Source organism: Homo sapiens, chromosome 5 (assembly GCF_000001405.40).
Source record: "Homo sapiens chromosome 5, GRCh38.p14 Primary Assembly".
NCBI classification, from domain to species: Eukaryota; Metazoa; Chordata; class Mammalia; order Primates; family Hominidae; genus Homo; species Homo sapiens.
The window spans coordinates 43,079,940-43,098,738 of record NC_000005.10 but is presented as its reverse complement, the minus strand read 5'-3'; the positions used below and the strand labels follow the sequence as shown (position 1 = coordinate 43,098,738).

General features: G+C 45.1%; 2 long non-coding RNA genes across 2 annotated transcripts in view; one reads left to right on the top strand and one right to left on the bottom strand.

Annotated features, from left to right (window-relative positions):
* Positions 1-1,245: 1,245 nt before the first annotated feature.
* Positions 1,246-6,554, top strand: LOC124900972 (uncharacterized). The gene is made up of 2 exons (XR_007058762.1): positions 1,246-1,331; positions 1,952-6,554. It is a non-coding gene; the product is annotated as an uncharacterized LOC124900972 (long non-coding RNA).
* LOC100506639 (uncharacterized) overlaps positions 5,181-18,799 on the bottom strand; it is a 26,536-nt gene continuing 12,917 nt past the window's right edge. Inside the window, exon 3 of the long non-coding RNA NR_102752.1 lies at positions 5,181-5,716. This is a non-coding gene — a long non-coding RNA (uncharacterized LOC100506639). The remainder of the gene's footprint in view (positions 5,717-18,799) is intronic.

Here is an 18,799-nt window from a genome sequence, read left to right as displayed (position 1 = left end):
CTCCCACCTCAGCCTCCTTAGTAGCTGGGACTACAGGCATGTGCCATCATGCCTGGCTAATTTTGGTGCTTTTTGTAGAGATGGGGTTTCTCCATGTTACCCAGGCTGGTCTCAAACCCCTGGGCTCAGGTGACCCCTCTGCCTCAGTCTCCCAAAATGCTGGGATTACAGGTGTTAGTCACTGTCCCCGGACAACTTTCTTTTTTTTTTTTTGTAGAGACGCAGTTTTGCCGTGTTGGCCAGGCTGGTTTTGAACTCCAGGCTGGTTTTGGCCCCAAGTGATCTGCCCACCTTGGCCTCCCAAAGTGCTGGTATTACACATGTAAGCCACCATGCACAGACTTAATTTTATTTCTTATAATGTGTTATGGCCTGTAGGGTGGTTATTCTGACAGGCTGGAAAGTGTAGTCCCCAGCCAAAGACAGAAGCAGGCACTTTGAGGAAGTGGAGGGTGGAACAGGGATTTATGTTGAATGGGTTGACCAAGTATACGTATTCAACAGGTTACAGGAGGCATATAAATATTCATGAATGTGTTCCTAATGCATGTGTACTGAATAAATATGCCTGTTACATACAGCCCATATTCATTCTGGGGTGGAGACAACATTCAAATGTATTACAGTTAGGCCATATATGTCAAAAGGTGAAACAGGGACACGAAGGCACTCAAGTGCACAGCCTCTGTGAACAGTGCATGCTGGTGGTCTTCTTATTAGGAGAAAGTTACTGAAATCAGTCTCTTGTCCAATCAAAGCTGCATTTATAGCTTGTGGAACAAGGGCCTCAGTTAGTCACTGTCTGGCGATGGATGAACTGTAATGGTTTTAATAGTGATTATCTTGAGGCCAGCGCTTGATTAGCTGCTAGAAAAAAAAAAAAAAACCTTGTGGTAGTTAGAACATAATTTGTTTTTTAAGTGTAGAGATGTGTGATTCAACCCTTGCCTGGCACAGCCTTAGGTCTCATTTATAGTTTGGTGTCTTAATGCTATAAGGAGTCTGTTCTGTCAGTCTCATGATCCCTATTGTAATAATAATGCTAGTCAGTCATGTTTAAACTGCAAAAGGGAGTAGGTATAACAAGCTATGTCTGACCTCCTGTCTTGTCATAGCTAGGAACTCAGGTTTCTCTGGGGTCCCCTTGGCCAATAGAGGGTCCATTCAATTGGTTGGAGGCCTTAGGATTTTATTTTTAGTTCTCATACCCCTTGATGTTTTTGCAAACAGAATGTTTGACTCAGATGAAAACGTATTACAATACAATTTCATTATGGCTATGATATGAGAAGGAAACATAATCTACTTTCAGACAGAATACTCCAAGAAAGGTACCGTTTTACATTTGTTCTCATTACTTTATCTTTGAATCCATGATAAAATCAATAATAATGATATTAGTATTAATAGCAATTGACCAAATTATTTTCTGCTATGCTATGTTGAATATTCACTTTTATATGGAATGCCTTCATGAAAGCTACCTTGTAAAATGAGAGCAAATTTCACTTCCATTTCAGAGATGATAAAATAACCGAGTCAGCCAGCCAGAGAACTTGGCTTCTTGCTATTACACATATACACACACATTCTGAAATCCTTCTAACTTAGCAATTCATCAGTAAAAGCCAAAACTGGGCTTGTGAAAGTCCAAGTTAGGAATGTACAACTATCTCTGCCCCACCTCTAATCCAAAACCCAAACCATTCCTTAGGCATCTCCCCAAGAATTCCTCTGCTAAGAGACCTGGGTTTCAGAACTACCTACGTGATTTGGGGCAATAATCATGCCCCAAATCATGCAGCATACTACAAGCCAGTGTCCCCCAAAAGAGCTTCCTTCTAGGAAGCTAATACTCTTCTTTTCAACTTCTAACCCAGTCTGTCACCAAAAGGATTTCATTCTAGAAAATTTCATCAAAGGTGATTGGCTTTTATGTTTATAACACCAGGCCATTCTTCTGTTGCGATCAGCTCTGGGCTTCCTGTCACCACCCAGCTTGCCCCTATCTGCTTGGGACTGCCTAATCAGCCAGAAGACCACAAAAAAGGGCACTCATCCTTTGTCACCTGAAACAGGACAGATGTGAAGCACTTTCAACAACTTGTGCTTGAGGCCTGGGATTCTGTAGAGCATGTTCCAGTGTACAAGAGGATTCAAGTCCCTGGCAGCCTGCTTTCTATCCAAAGCTGGGTCACCTCTCTTGGGACCACCAGGACATTGAATTGCTTTCCCATTCCTGTGGACTTCTGAAATGGGCCCACCTGAGACAAGAACCCAGAGTGCCTAGCACCTTTAGGCTGGGCACAGAACCACCCACCTAGGAACCGATGACTGCAACCCAGGAGGAGACACAGATGCCCCCAGAGATGCCCCCAAGTCACAGCCTCCCTTGAGCCCTGCCAATGCACTCCCTAACTGCCTCACTTGGCTGGATCACCCTGCTCCAGGAACAGACAACTGGAGCCTGAGAAATCAGATGATGGAGACCTACCAAGCATCACCCTCCTCCTGCCTCCCAACAGCCACCACCCAGTGTTCCAAGTCTTGTTGGGAGTAGAGCCCAGGAGCAGTGGCTGAGTTGATGCAAGGCTGCCTCTGCCACCTGCCTTTGGCCTCCTTGAGATTTCTTTCACTGAGACTCTTCAATGGGTGATCCTGTGCCAAAAGGTATTGCTACCATGACACCTCTAGGTTTGCTCAAACACAATGGTAGAGATCGTGCCTGCAGAGAACTTTGCACATGTGTTTTTGCCCACGTGATAAAACTGTGCAAAAATGCAAAATTCTTACCCATGCATGTTTCTGGTTTGGCTGCTGAGGAAGGACAGGGAGCAGAGGAGCTGGTGGCCGGGCCTGGGCCAGGACAGGTGCATGGCCCTTGGTGCAATAGGGAGGAGTCCAGCATGAACACAACTTTTATTGGTATAGAGGTGACTGGGTGTTTTAAAGGGAGACTGAGGGAATAGGGAGGTGTGTGAGTGAGGAAGACCTGCGTAGAAACAGGAAAGTGAAAAATTATAGAAAGTGGAAAGGGGGGATTGGTCCATATGAACTGAGTCTCCTAACTGGGGCTAAACAAAGCTAGGCTCCTGCCCTCCCACAGAGGCTGGGAGACAGGAGCCCTATTTTCAGGTCTTGCCTCGAACACACAGTATATTCTTTTTGTAGCCTTGATCTTTCTCAGTCAGGCATCTAAAGGAGGGCTAGGGTCATCCCAGAGTTGTGGCCTTGAGCTGTAAGACACTGTGTTAGTGTTTTTCAAGTCTTTATAGACCAAGGTTGAAGCTTAGTAAAGAGTACTCCCAGGAACCTGTCTAGAGATTGGTCAAGGAGATAATCTTTGTTAATGTCAACTGAAGAAAAAAAAAATCAAGCTTTTAAATATTTAAATTTATTTAGAAGTCTTTCTGAGGACTACAGACTGAGGACTTACAGCCCTGGAGGAGTCTTTTAGAGAGATTTTGCAGACTGCTTAGAAACAGCGTTTCTGCTCATAACTTATATACAGGTCATGGAGGTTTCAGTATGCCTTCAGAACTTACGTCAAACTTGCTCAGATTTTACATTAAAGCAGAATCACATCAATGCTTGGGTGCAAGAGTACATCTGGTTATAGATTATAGAGCATAATCACTAACCCTGTCACATATTATGTGTAGGAAAATATGTGTCACATATTATGTGCAAGGACTGAGTTCATTTATGTGTTTTGTTTGTTTGTTTGTTTTTTTGAGATGGAGTTTTGCTCTTGTCGCCCAGGCAGGAGTGCAGTGGCGCGCTCTTGGCTCACTGCAACCTCTGCCTCCCGGGTTCAAGCGTTTCTTCTGCCTCAGCCTCCCATGTAGTTGGGATTACAGGCACCCACCACCACGCCCAGCTAAATTTTGTATTTTTGTTAGAGACGGGGTTTCACTATGTTGGCCAGGCTGGTCTTGAACTCCTGACCTCAGGTGATCCACCTGCCTTGACCTCTCAAAGTGCTGGGATTACATGCATGAGCCACTGCGCCCGGCTCATTTATCTTTTAAGGAACATAGTGACTCAGACAGGAGATGTGGGGGGCAATGTGCTGTATCCTGCCTGTTGTTGTTGTTGTTGTTGTTGTTGTTTGTTTGTTTGGACAAACTCTCACTCTGTCACCCAGGCTGGAGTGCAGTGGTGCGATCTCGGCTCACTGCAACCTCCACCTCCCGAGTTCAAGTGATTTTTGTGTCACAGCCTCTCGAGTAGCTAGGATTACAGGCACCTGCCACCATGCCTGGCTAATTTTTGTATTTTAGTACAGACGGGGTTTCATCATGTTGGCCAGGCTAGTCTCAAACTCCTGACCTCAGGTGATCCACCTGCCTCGGCCTCCCAAAGTGCTGGGATTACAGGCATGAGCCACTGTGCCCAGCCCCTGTTTTGTTTTTAAAGCATTCTCCCAGACAGAAGGACATCATCACAGAGTCAGGGGCTTTGTGAAATTATGCTGGCAACGGAAATGAGCAAACATGGCTTTTTACATTGCAACTTTGTCTCAAGTAAGTTACTGGGGATGTGGGGCCAAAGGGGAGGCACCTTCCTGCACCATAGGAAAGCTGGGAATGGAAAGAGAAGCCAGGAGTGCAGGATGGAGATACCAGAGTACTCTGGGGGTGGTTTGCAGAGCTAGGACCTCAATTTTGGGTGGGGACCAGGATGCCAAACAAATCTCCAAATTGACCTCTGTCTAGGTTCCTGGATGCTGTTCCAGGTGTTGAAGAAGGGTCAACCTAGGATCAGTATGGTGGCTTATGCTGAACTGGGAAGATGCATGAGGAAGAAGCAGAGAGAACCAAGCAGTCACTTCGCAAGGCCAATTCTGGAAGAGCACATTTGGGGAAAATGGGCTTAAGTAGAGCCAGGAAAGTTCTAGTGGAAAGACAGGATTGGTCCAAATGAATTGAGTCTCCTAACTGGTGAGGCCAATTCTGGATGAGCAGATTTGTGAGAAATGGGCAAGGCCTTCCCTCTTCCAGGATATGTGGGTTTCCTTCATCACAGTGGCCACCACATGAATTTCTAGGATGAAGGGGTCAAAATCTCCTGGCAACCTTGAGCTTAAATTGTGTTTGTGTAACACCTTCCCTAAGGTTCCAATAAAATTACTAGGGGGTTTTACAGAGTGAAGTAGAAGGGACTGACAAAGACCCTCCTTGACCAAACCCTAGACACAGTCTCCTCACCCCTTTCCCACCTATGCTTGGACCTTGGACATTGCCTCAAGAGCCCAGTTTTAGCCAGCATCCCCTATCTTCAATATCTGATTCGCCCTCGATATCTGACCACATTCCTTATTCTCCAATTGATATCTGATCACCCTGGTCTGCCTATAGCAAGAATACTGTTAGGTCACTTTAGAAAAAATTAACGTATCCTTTTAGTAATTTTCCATTCACTAACCCCTGTCCTGCCCCACGTTCCATCCCTACCTCTCAGTCTTTGGCTGTAAATCCCTTATTTTCCTTGTATTAGGAGCTGATCCCAATCTCAATCCTCTACTGCAAAGTACACCTATGGCAATAATGCTGAATGAAGTCTGCTTTACCATCCTAACAACTGTGTTACATTTTTTCTTTAACAGAAATAAAGTATGTTTGTGCTTTTGAAGAGGTAGGAGACTTTCTGTCACCTAAGTCCCATATCCAGTCCTGAAGCCTCTTCTTGCCTCAGAGTTGTTAGGGCTGGTTTCCTGAGGAAATAAAAACATTTCACTCCAAAATCTATTTGTTTGACATACTTCATGATAGTGGTTCAGAGGGCCTGCAAACAGAAGTAGTCCTAAAAACTGTGTTTTATGAGGGAGACCTTCATCTGTAGAGAAAACCTGTATTGATGTAGCCAGACTTAAGCCCCCATTCTTTCTGGTAACCTTAAATTGGTATATAAACATTCATACCCCATTGTTAGGGTAATCACTTGTGACTTTCCCCCAATGCATGCTAGTAAATTTCTATGCCATCTCCCCTAGTAATTGGCCTTTTGTCAGTTGATTTTTCATCAAACCTTCAGAGGAGGAAGGGAAATATTCCCTTAGCTTCTACAGTTTTGGTGCTGTCAGCAGGATCCCAAAGTCTCTTTGCTGTTCTGGAAACTGCAGTGAAGGGAACCTAGGACCTGACTAGATGGCAGAAAGGTAAGATTTTCTTACCAACCAGGCTCTCGGTCTCTCTCTGTGGAATCCAGTCAAGTGGATGGCAAAAATCACTGTATGTCTCTTTTTCCTCTGCAAAATTTTGATTAATAGGAGAAAAAAATTTGTGTGGCTAGTAGTGGGTCTAACAACTCTGATGTACTGTTTGGTATGAATATTCGTATTGTTTGGTCTTTCTCCTCCCAGAAACAGTTTTCTTCTTTGTCTTTTTGTGTTGTTCTGTGATAAAGAAGGACACCATAGGGTGGAACATGGGCCTAAACCTCCTATAAGCCCGTTTTTCAAGCCAACCCTGAAAACTGGTCAGTTTTGATTGTGATCAGAGCAGCGTATAAACTTTGCTGTGGGTTTCCAAAATAAAAACTGGATGAGGTTCCCCTCTTGTCTTGTTTTATGTCCTTGAGCTTGACCTGTGACCAAGTGGGAGCACTCTCTGTCTCCATCATTTGGGTGGCATGATTTTTGGATCATGTCTGGTGGCCAGTCTGAAAATGGCTGGGAACCAGAGTCATATAAGATTTGAAGCAATACACTTTTTGTTCCAAATGTGTCAAGCTCTTGAGGTAGTTTGTCTTTAAAAGTCCCATCTCTACAGGGTTTTTGTTGCCTCAACCCTTGTTGCCTGGTTAGTGCTAGAAAAGTCCTATCCTAAAAGAGCCTACTTGGTGTCACAAATTAAGAGGTCTGTGACTGGTGATCCCCACAAATTTCTAAGTCACCAGAGGCACTGTATGCACAAACAGCATCCTTAACCATGTGTGGCAATAAGAATCTTTCTATCTTGGCCTATTCCTGGGAGTAAATTTTTGAGGGAGAGACTCTTTAGGATTGCCACTTCTATGCCTCTTCAAGAAACATCTTTTTCTTAAATGATAAAAACTTACATTAAACCTAGAAATTTATATCTTGGGTTTTCCAATGAAGAGGCTGTTGCATTGAATTAAGTATACCAGTGGAAATTCTAATTTCCAATGTCCAGACGATGGATCCTTTAAATTAGAAAGACTCCTAAACTCAAAAAACATTTTTAAAGATCTCTCATTCTCAACAATTGCCTTATTTGTATTTATAGGAAGATTACATTAAAAGAAAGACATACAATGGTGTCATGGCTAGCCTTAGAAATTCTCTTGACAAAATTAAAGAGCAAACCCCTAACTGAAAACAAAGTTAAAACCCTTTATGAGCTCAAACTCCTTACTTTGGATCCCATTCAAGATTCACTAAGTAGTCTGCTCCACCTTGTAGTTTAGATAAAATTCTCTGCTTTCACCAGAGTGGCCTGGGTTTGACTCCTGGGCAGGGAATCAGCCCCTTTTGGTTTGATAATCATGTGACTTTTTACTTTTGGGGGTACTCATTTGTTTTTCATCTTTTTCCTTTCCATGGACAGCTTTTGATTGTCTTCCATCTGTAAGGGCACATGGGGCTTTTTGGGCCTTTGTGATGGCCAGATGAGAAGCTGAGACCCTAGAGAGAATATAATCAGACAGATACAAATTATACCCCATTTGTGATTAGCAAAACTCTTACTTCTTTGAGCTATCTTTGAAGTTGGTTCTGGATCTTGTGAGTACTTCTTTGTGCCTCTTTGGAGACACCTCATGCATTCTTGGTTATGTAGGGTGTCTTTGGTTAAAAAGTTCAAAAGCCAGCAATGTTAGCTGTTTGTCTCAGCTAAAATCTGATAATAAGAAATTTTGAAAGATTTTTTTAATTAAAAAAGAGCTACATGGTCAGAAGTCAGCTTAATTAAAAGCTGATATTCAAGCCATATATATATATGAGAGACCCATACCAGTGGCCTAGACCAGTGGCCGTTGTGAGGACTGGGGACATGACCTGTGCCTCACTTTCCCTAGTCCAGCTGTGCCTCCTGGCCATGCTGAGAGAAATCAGGTCCTACAGAGACTGTCTTGAGAGCTCTTTCCTTTGTATTGGTCTCTACATCTGGTATATAACAGTTAAAATTACTTATTTCCTTGATTTTTCACTAAAAATCAGAGTTATTAAGCATTAATATTATAATTATTATGTATAATTAAAACTTCTAGGTTAGGCCAGGCATGGTGGCTCATGCCTGTAGTCCCAGCACTGTGGGAGGCTAAAGCTGGTAGATTGCTTTAGCCCAGGAGTTCAAGATGAGTCTGGGCAATATGGTGAAACCTTGTCTCTATGAAAAAAAAAAAATTTGCCAGGCATGGTGGCACATGCCTGTAGTCCCAGCTACTCAGGAGGCTGAAGTGAGAGGACTGCTTGAGCCCAGGAGGTCTAGGCTGCAGTGAACTATGATCATGCCACTGTACTCCAGCCTGGGCAACAGAGTAAGAGAGTAAGATCCTCTATTTCACAAAAAAAAAAAAAGGAAAAGAAAAGCCTTCTAGATACAAAAAATGCTTCTATATACAAAATATATACAACATACACAAAAACACTTCTATATGCAACATATACAAAAAAGATGTTTTAAATAAAGAAGATTGGCAAGGGCGCAGGGGCTCATGCCTGTAATCCCAGCAGTTTGGGAGGAGGAGGTGGGTGGATCACCTGAGGTCAGGAGTTCATGACCAGCCTGGCCAACATGGCGAAACCCTGTCTCTACTAAAAATACAAAAATTAGCTGGGTGTGGTGGCACGCTTCTGTAATCCCAGCTACTCAGGGGGCTGAGGCAGGAGAATCGCTTGATCCCGAGGGGCAGAGGTTGCAGTGAGCCGAGAACGTGTCATTGCACTCCAGCCTGGGTGACAGAGCAAGATTTAGTCTCAAAAAAAAAAAAAAGGTTATTAAAAAGACATAAAAATATAGTTGTTGGTAAGAAAAATGTTGTTCAGTTTTGAGGGTTTCGAGATGGGGTCTCATTCTGTTGCCTGGGCTGGACTGCAGTGGTGTTATCAGCTCACTATATAACCTCAAACTTCTGTGCTCAAGGGTTCCTCCTGCCTCAGCTTCCCAAGTAGCTGGGACTGTAGGTGCACACAACCATAATTGGGTAATTAAATATTTTTTTTTGTGGAGACGGGATCTCAGTTTATTACCCAAGCTGGTCTTGAACTCCTGGACTCAAGGGATCCTCCTGCCTCGGCCTCCCAAAGTGCTGGGATTACAGGTGTGAGCTGCCACACCTAGCTTAGTTTAGATGTTTGTTTTAAAGTTTTAAATTTTTAATAGTTAATAACAGATAAAACTAAATTTAAAAAATTATAAAAGGTTATAAAAGGTTTATACAAATCTTATCTTCTGTGGTCAAAACTAATTGAGGTTAGATAGACCTGTTCATAATTTTACTAAAATTAGCTTTAGCATTAATAATATACGGATATAGAGATACAAATTTTTTAACAAAATTTCCATATAAGAGATAACAAGCTCTCTAACAAGCCCTCTCCCCCTCCCCCTCCCCCTCCCCCTCCCTCTCGTCTCCCTCTCCGTCTCCCTCTCCCCGGTCTCCTTCCACGGTCTCCCTCTGATGCCGAGCCGAAGCTGGACTGTACTGCTGCGATCTCGGCTCACTGCAACCTCCCTGCCTGATTCTCCTGCCTCAGCCTGCTGAGTGCCTGCGATTGCAGGCGCGCGTCGCCACGCCTGACTGGTTTTCGTTTTTTTTTTGGTGGAGACGGGGTTTTGCTGTGTTGGCCGGGCTGGTCTCCAGCTCCTAACCGCGAGTGATCCGCCAGCCTCGGCCTCCCGAGGTGCCGGGATTGCAGACGGAGTCTCGTTCACTCAGTGCTCAATGGTGCCAAGGCTGGAGTGCAGTGGCGTGATCTCGGCTCGCTACAACCACCTCCCAGCCGCCTGCCTTGGCCTCCCAAAGAGCCGAGATTGCAGCCTCTGCCCGGCCGCCACCCCGTCTGGGAAGTGAGGAGCGTCTCTGCCTGGCCGCCCATCGTCTGGGATATGAGGAGCCCCTCTGCCTGGCTGCCCAGTCTGGAAAGTGAGGAGCGTCTCTGCCCGGCCGCCATCCCATCTAGGAAGCGAGGAGCGCCACTTCCCCGCCGCCATCCCATCTAGGAAGTGAGGAGCGTCTCTGCCCGGCCGCCCATCGTCTGAGAGGTGGGGAGCACCTCTGCCCCGCCGCCCTGTCTGGGATGTGAGGAGCGCCTCTGCCCGGCCGCCCCGTCTGAGAAGTGAGGAAACCCTCTGCCTGGCAACCGCCCCGTCTGAGAAGTGAGGAGCCCCTCCGTCCAGCAGCCACCCCGTCTGGGAAGTGAGGAGCGTCTCCGCCCAGCAGCCACCCCGTCCAGGAGGGAGGTGGGGGGGGTCAGCCCCCGCCCGGCCAGCCGCCCCGTCCGGGAGGTGAGGGGCTCCTCTGCCCGGCCGCCCCTACTGGGAAGTGAGGAGCCCCTCTGCCTGGCCAGTCGCCCCGTCCAGGAGGGAGGTGGGGGGGTCAGCCCCCCGCCCGGCCAGCCGCCCAGTCCGGGAGGGGGGAGGGGGGGTCAGCCCCCTGCCCGGCCAGCCGCCCCGTCCGGGAGGGAGGTGGGGGGATCAGCCCCCCGCCTGGCCAGCCGCCCCGTCCGGGAGGTGAGGGGCGCCTCTGCCCGGCCACCCCTACTGGGAAGTGAGGAGCCCCTCTGCCCGGCCAGCCGCCCCGTCCGGGAGGGAGGTGGGGGGGTCAGCCCCCCGCCCGGCCGGCCGCCCCGTCCGGGAGGTGAGGGGCGCCTCTGCCCGGCCGCCCCTACTGGGAAGTGAGGACCCCTCTGCCCGGCCAGCCGCCCCGTCCGGGAGGGAGGTGGGGGGATCAGCCCCCCGCCCGGCCAGCCGCCCAGTCCGGGAGGGAGGTGGGGGGTCAGCCCCTCGCCCGGCCAGCCGCCCCGTCCGGGAGGGAGGTGGGGGGATCAGCCCCCCGCCTGGCCAGCCGCCCCGTCCGGGAGGTGAGGGGCGCCTCTGCCCGGCCGCCCCTACTGGGAGGTGAGGAGCCCCTCTGCCCAGCCAGCCGCCCCGTCCGGGAGGGAGGTGGGGGGGTCAGCCCCCGCCCAGCCAGCCGCCCCGTCCGGGAGGGGGGAGGGGGAGTCAGCCCCCTGCCCGGCCAGCCGCCCCGTCCGGGAGGGAGGTGGGGGGGTCAGCCCCCCGCCCGGCCAGCCGCCCCGTCCGGGAGGGAGGTGGGGGGATCAGCCCCCCGCCTGGCCAGCCGCCCCGTCCGGGAGGTGAGGGGCGCCTCTGCCCGGCCGCCCCTACTGGGAAGTGAGGAGCCCCTCTGCCTGGCCAGCCGCCCCATCCGGGAGGGAGGCGGCGGGGGGGGTCGGCCAGCCGCCCCGTCCGGGAGGGAGGTGGAGGGGTCAGCCCCCCGCCCGGCCAGCCGCCCTATCCAGGAGGTGAGGGGCGCCTCTGCCCGGCCGCCCCTACTGGGAAGTGAGGAGCCCCTCTGCCTGGCCAGCCGCCCCGTCCGGGAGGGTGGTGGGGGGGTCAGCCCCCCGCCCGGCCAGCCGCCCCATCCGGGAGGTGAGGGGCGCTTCTGCCCGGCCGCCCCTACTGGGAAGTGAGGAGCCCCTCTGCCCGGCCACGACCCCGTCTGGGAGGTGTGCCCAGCGGCTCACTGGGGATGGGCCATGATGACAATGGCGGTTTTGTGGAATAGAAAGGCGGGAAGGGTGGGGAAAAAATTGAGAAATCGGATGGTTGCCGGGTCTGTGTGGATAGAAGTAGACATGGGAGACTTTTCATTTTGTTCTGTACTAAGAAAAATTCTTCTGCCTTGGGATCCTGTTGATCTGTGACCTTATCCCCAACCCTGTGCTCTCTGAAACATGTGCTGTGTCCACTCAGGGTTAAATGGATTAAGGGCGGTGCAAGATGTGCTTTGTTAAACAGATGCTTGAAGGCAGCATGCTCGTTAAGAGTCATCACCACTCCCTAATCTTAAGTACCCAGGGACACAAACACTGCGGAAGGCAGCAGGGTCCTCTGCCTAGGAAAACCAGAGACCTTTGTTCACTTGTTTATCTGCTGACCTTCCCTCCACTATTGTCCTATGACCCTGCCAAATCCCCTTCTGCGAGAAACACCCAAGAATGATCAATTAAAAAAAAAAAAAAACAAAACAAATATTTACGTATGATAATGAGAAGAACACTGTCCTAGATGGCTGAAATGCTAATAGTCTTTAATTCACTATTTTCTTATTCTGACTGTTGCAAAGATTTGTAGTTTTATTGATGATTCTCACTCATGTTCTAAAATAGGAGTTGGCAAACTATTGGCTGCCTGTGTTTATAAATAAAGTTTTCCTAGAACACAACAAAAAAAAAAAAAAAAAAAGAGATAACAAATGCAAGATTTTTTGTTCACCTTTTAAATACATTGCAAAAGAAAAAAGAGAGTTTGCCTCATGCTGTCTTTGTCTTTTTGACTGTTTAGAGAACTGAGTCTCCTCTCTATCAAAGAGTAAGGGTTTTTGCTTTTTGAAATCTTTGAATTATCACTTTGGCTAAATGAGTAACTTATTTGTGTAAGATAAGGATTACTTATGTGTAATTCTATTTTGATCCAGGGTTTGAAACCTTTCTTATTTTCCTATCAAGTGTTTTAAGCCTTTAATAGTTGACAAACTTCTCAAAATCAAATTTTATATTCTAAAATTAAGTCTTTTTGACCTGAAACTAACTTTTAATTTTGGTATATAAAAATCATATGGAAAACACTGTCAAATAGAAGTGGCATTTAACTTTGAGTTACATTTGCAGAAATGTGTTATTAATATGTGCTCCAAAATTGTATGAGATTCCTAAAATTATGATATGTCTTGGCCTATGTTATGATTCATATGATTATTGTGTTAAATTGTTATATGCCACAGAAATAAGCAAATTTTCTTGTCAATTGTGTCTTTTTTTTTTTTTTTGGAGGCGGAGTCTCACTATGTCACCCAGGCTGGAGTGCAGTGGCGCCATTTCGGTTCACTGCAAGCTCCACCTCCTTGGGTTCATGCCATTCTCCTACCTCCCTCCTACCTGTAGCTGGGAGTACAGGCGCCTGTAACCATGCCCAGCTAATTTTTTTTTTTGTATTTTTAGTAGGGATGGGGTTTCACCATGTTAGCCAGGATTGTCTTGATCTCCTGACCTTGTGAACCGACCACCTTGGCCTCCCAAATTGCTGGGATTACAGGCATGAGCCACTACACCTGGCTGTCAATTGTGTCTTTAATTACGGCTATTCTAAGTCTTTTGCCATCCATAGACATTTATTGTTTTATTTTCATTCTTCTTGAAAGACAGTTTATAATCAGCTATAGTCCAAAATTTGATTCTTCTTCAAAAAAATTCATAAGGATCCTGACAAGTACTCTTGAATACAGGTTTTTGATAACTTTGGAGATCATAACATTGAACAATGTGAAATTTTTCAAGACTCTAGTAAACAAAGTTAATAGGTTCATGAAAGTTGATAACTTCAAGCAGAACAGGAATGAATTACATGGAACTAAACTGATAAAAGACTAAAATAATTTTTGTAACTTTTTTGCTTAAAATATTGCTGATTCTTTTCCTGTTTTGTTTTTGAGTCAAGAAAAATTTTATTTTAAACATTAATATTTATAGTTTACAACAATTGGGTAAAGTATACTTTTGTGAATAAAATTGAAACATTTGCCGAGCGTGGTGGCTCACTTCTATAATCCTAGCACTTTGAGAGGCTGAGGCAGGCGGATCACGAGGTCGAGAGATTGAGACATCCTGGCCAACATGGTGAAACCCCATCTCTACTAAAAATACAAAAATTAGCTAGGTGTGGTGGCACGCGCCTGTAGTCCCAGTTACTCGGGTGTCTGAGGCAGGAGAATCACTTGAACCTGGGAGGTGGTGGTTGCAGTGAGCCGAGATCACGCCACTACACTACAGCCTGTTGACAGAGCGAGACTCTGTCTCAAAAAAAAAAACAAAAAAAAAAAACAAGGAAACATTTACCTTTCTCTACCTGATTTCTCCAAAATTTGGAAGCTATTCGTGAGTATTCTTAATTTATGGCAATATAGTTATTTGCATACACAGTAAGAATCTGCTTTCTTTTGTAACAGCTCACAATTGGATATACTGGTTATTTTACCAAGGCTTTAACTGGAATGATATATTTTTGGATATGACCAGACTGCTTTGAGCAATTTAGGTTGTCTTCACAGAGCAAATAAAAAGCCCCTTGGAAAGACTGGCTTGGTGCCTCATCTACATGGCTCCCTTACGAGGTTCCTGATGATCTTGTGGTAAGTAAATAACATCACCTTATGACAGGCCCAGGACTCTCCAGATATTTTGGGAACCTCAAAAAGAGAGGAATTCACTGGTTTTATACACACATATTTTACACAGTTTTATACACTGGTTTTATAAGCACAGTCTGATGGCAAATCTTTGGCTTGGCTTCTCAGCTTTAAGAAGCTTTTAAAAGTGTAACCTGAGATTCCTTATGAAAAAGTTCTAGTGGCCAAGCACAGTGGCTCATGCCTGTAATCCCAGCACTTTGGGAGGCCGAGGTGGGCGGATCACCTGAGGGCAGGAATTCGAAACCAACCTGGCCAACATGGCAAAACCCCGTCTCTACTAAAAATATAAAAATTAGCCAGGTGCGGTGGTGAGCGCCTGTAATCCCAGCTACTTGGGAGGCTGAGGCAGGAGAATTGCTTGCACCTGGGAGGCAGAGGTTGCAGTGAGCAGAGATCGCGCCATTGCACTCCGGCCTGGGCAACGGAGAGAGACTCCATCTCAAAAAAAAAAAAAAAAAAAAAGTTCTAGCAACACCAACTTAAAAAATGCCTACATCACTAATCACTATTCTTGCTATACTTTATGCAAAGAATCAGGCCAAATATAGTAAGACTAAAACATTTTACAAGTAAATTAGTCTTACTATGATTTGTCTTTGGTATAAATGAGAGACTAAAGAAAGAAAAATTGCGGGGGCCGGGCACGGTGGCTCGAGTCTGTAATCCCAGCACTTTGGGAAGCCGAGGCGGGTGGATCATGAGGTCAGGAGATCGAGACCATCCTGGCTAACATGGTGAAACCCCGTCTCTACTAAAAATACAAAAAATTAGCCAGGTGTGGTGGTGGGCGCCTGTAGTCCCAGCTACTCAGGAGGCTGAGGCAGGAGAATGGTGTGAACCCAGGAGGCAGAGCTTGCAGTGAGCCGAGATAGTGCCACTGCACTCCAGCCTGGGCAACAGAGCAAGACTCCATCTCAAAAAAAAAAAAAAGAAAGAAAAATTGCATTTCAGAAAAAACACTATAGTACACCTGTTATTAGACTCTAGCCCTGCCCATTGTTTTTGAGTTTTTGTTATTTGGCTACAATTTAGACCAAATACTAAATATTTTTGTCTCTACAAGTCTCTGAACTGATGTTTCCATTTTTCTTGGTTAGACTCACTAAAGATTAAAATTGTGCTTTTTCTTAAAGCCCTGCCAACTGAAGTTAGGCAATATAAACTTCAGGAAAAATCACCAGAGCAACTTACATATAACAGCTAGGAAGGGCAAATAAAAATACTAGGACCCCAAATTCCCTAAGTTGAAGGGAAAAGTCAAGCTTGGACCCAAGTCACATAAAATGGCCTCTTATTTTTTCCTCTAAATAGAGAGCTACAAAGACAAAAGGCTATATACCATCTTCAGTTTGCTCACAAGGAAATTTCTTGTGGACCTTGATATCTGTACCCTAAAATAGTTCTGTTGAATTTCACCCTAACAATGTAAATTAACAGCTTATCTTCATGGGTACTGGACAAAGGACAGAACTAAAGGACATCCCTCCACCCACCTGAACCTAAAATATACCCAATGTACCCCTGAACCTAAAATAAAAGTTCAAAAAATTGATTAGATTCAGATGTATCTTTGTCCACTCCTTTATTTTCAACTCTTTTTATCATTTTACTTTATGTCTTCAAAATAGCATAGAGTTTGAAGCTATAATTTCTTTCTCTCTTTTCTCTCTTTATTTTTCAAGAGATGAAGTATTACTCTGTCACGCATACTGGAGTGCAGTGGCATGATTATAACTCATTACAGCCTTTAACTCCTGAGCTCAACCAATCCTCCTGTCTCAGCCTCCTGAGTAGCTGGGACTACAGGTGTGTGACCCCATACCTTGTTGTAGTTTACTTAATCTATTAATGCAATTGTACTTATCTTTTCACAGGGTAGTTCAATACACTGAATGATTGTATAAGTGGGAAAAGTGGCATCCCCCTTGTCCAGTTTCTATAAGGTACAATTATACCTGAATAACTTTAGTTTCATGTCTCATCTTTTAGTTCTCACCACTAAACTAATGAATTATCTGGTTGTAGAGTTTGAGAGGGGATCTACACATGAAAAGTTTGGCCCCTCACATTCCACCCTCTTTTATTAAGCCAGCGCCTCCTGGAAAACTGTGCTATGCTTGCTTCTCCATGCCCCACATTTCATAGACACACAGCCTCACTTGAGGAAACTTGAGGTTGTGTAACTCTTCCTGAGGCTGGATAGATAAATGCAATTCTGCCGTCAAGAGGTCCATTTTTGGTGTTAGCATTAGGCCCATCTTCCAATTTAGTTTATTGTGTGTGATTTTCCTGTATCCCTTATTTCCAACCCTTCAATTCAAGATAACCATCCACAGTTGGTTATTTTATTACTAAATTGAATATTCTGTTGTTTACCTTTTTACATAGTTTTATTTTTATCAATATGTATCTACATATTGTGTGTTTTTGTTAATTTTATAAAATAAAACTGTGTTCTGTGAAGGGAAATTAAACTTTGGGACCCCAAACTCATTTAGCCAAAGGGAAAAGTTAAGCTGGGAACTGGGTCACACAAACCTGCCTCCCGCTTTTGATTCCTAAATAAGATGGCTACAAGATGAAAAGCTACATGCCTCTCCCATATTTTGCCCACAGGGAAATTCCTGGTGAGCTGTTAAAACTTCACCATGGCAATGCAAATTGATAGCTTATCTTTACATGTGCAGTCACCCTGCTCGCCAGACACAAATGCATATCTGATTGTTCCCTCTACCCCATTTTGTCTGTTATCTTATGTAAAATGCAGATTCCCCATATTTTTCCTCTGCCCCTTTGGTTTATGTGAAAACTGTGCGCTTCTCAATATCCTGCCCTTTCCCCTTTAAATTTGGAGCCCTCAAAATCATCATCAGAGAAAGGCATAGACCTGTCTCCCAGGCATGTCCTTAACTTTGGCAAATAAACCTCCTAAAATGATTGAGACTTATCTTGTCATTTTCCTCAATTGACAGTTCTATGTAGTCTTTTAAACTTTTTCTCTGAATATTATGTTGCTATAATGCAGCCATGATTTTGAGTAATGTTGTAGTTTATTCTGATTTTTGTAAAATATTCCGTTCTGTGAATATAATATGTTCCTTTCTATCCGCTCTCCTATTGTTGGAGTTTTAGTTCCTTCCTCCTCAGCAAATTTTTGTTACTGTGAACAGTACATATATGGACATTCTCTTCCATGTTTCCTTGTGTGCATGTGCAAGAATTTCCCTTGGATATAGACCTAAGAATGGAATCAGTGGCTTATGAGATATTCCTAAACTTGTTTACTCTATCTTTCCATTTTAACAGGAAAGTTCTTACTTCTGTCTTATTCTTTGTAGACTACCATTGAATAAAGGCCTCAATCAACCATCCATACCTACTGCAGATTCTTCTAGATGCTGATGTATGCGGAACCCAGAATTTCTATTCTTGGCACCCATATAAGTAAATTTTATTTGTTCTGCATTATGTTCTAGTTTTCTTGATATAGCACTTTAAAAAATCATTTTCATACAAATTCATATGGTTTCTGCAAATATAAATTAACTGTCTCTTGCAACTGTTTTGATATGTAAGCAATGACACCCAAATTCAGATTTCATTGTTGTCCCTTAGGGGTATCCTAGTATCTGACTCTAGTTAGGGGGTTAGAATTAGTTATACTGGCTATGAGACTTCTGTTGAATTGACATTCTTTTAGGAGCTGTCTCAAGTAAGAGCTTTCTAGTATCTTCAAACAAAAAAAAGGACTCACCTACTCAGACAGAAAGTCTATTTTTTAAAGGACGCTTAGAGAGATTTGTGGGGTTCAAGGTTATTATATTTATAAAGATCTACCCAAATTTACCCCTTTGATTTCAGAGTCCCATTACTTGCTAATCAATCCCATTGCTTATACATAAAAGATATGGTAAAGGTGAATTCACCATATATATATAAAATTTAGAGACAGAGTCTCAATATATTCTCTAGGCTGGCTTTGAACTCACTTCCAGCAATCCTCCTCTGGCCTCAGCCTTTTGAGTAGGTGAGACAACAGGTATGTGCCACCCTGCTTGGCCTTCACCTTATATTGTTTTTTTTTGAGACGGAGTCTCACTCTGTCACCGAGGCTGGAGTGCAGTGGCGCAATCTCGGCTCACTGCAACCTCCAGCTCCCGGGTTCAAGCAATTCTCCTGCCTCAGCCTCCTGAGTAGCTGGGACTATAGGCACATGCCGCCAGGCCTGGCTAATTTTTTGTGTTTTAGTAGAGACGGGGTTTCACAACGTTGCCCAGGCTGGTCTCGAACTCCTGAGCTCAGGCAATCCACTCGCCTCGGCCTCCCATAGTGGTGTAGTGGTGCAGCTCACCATAGCCTCCAACTT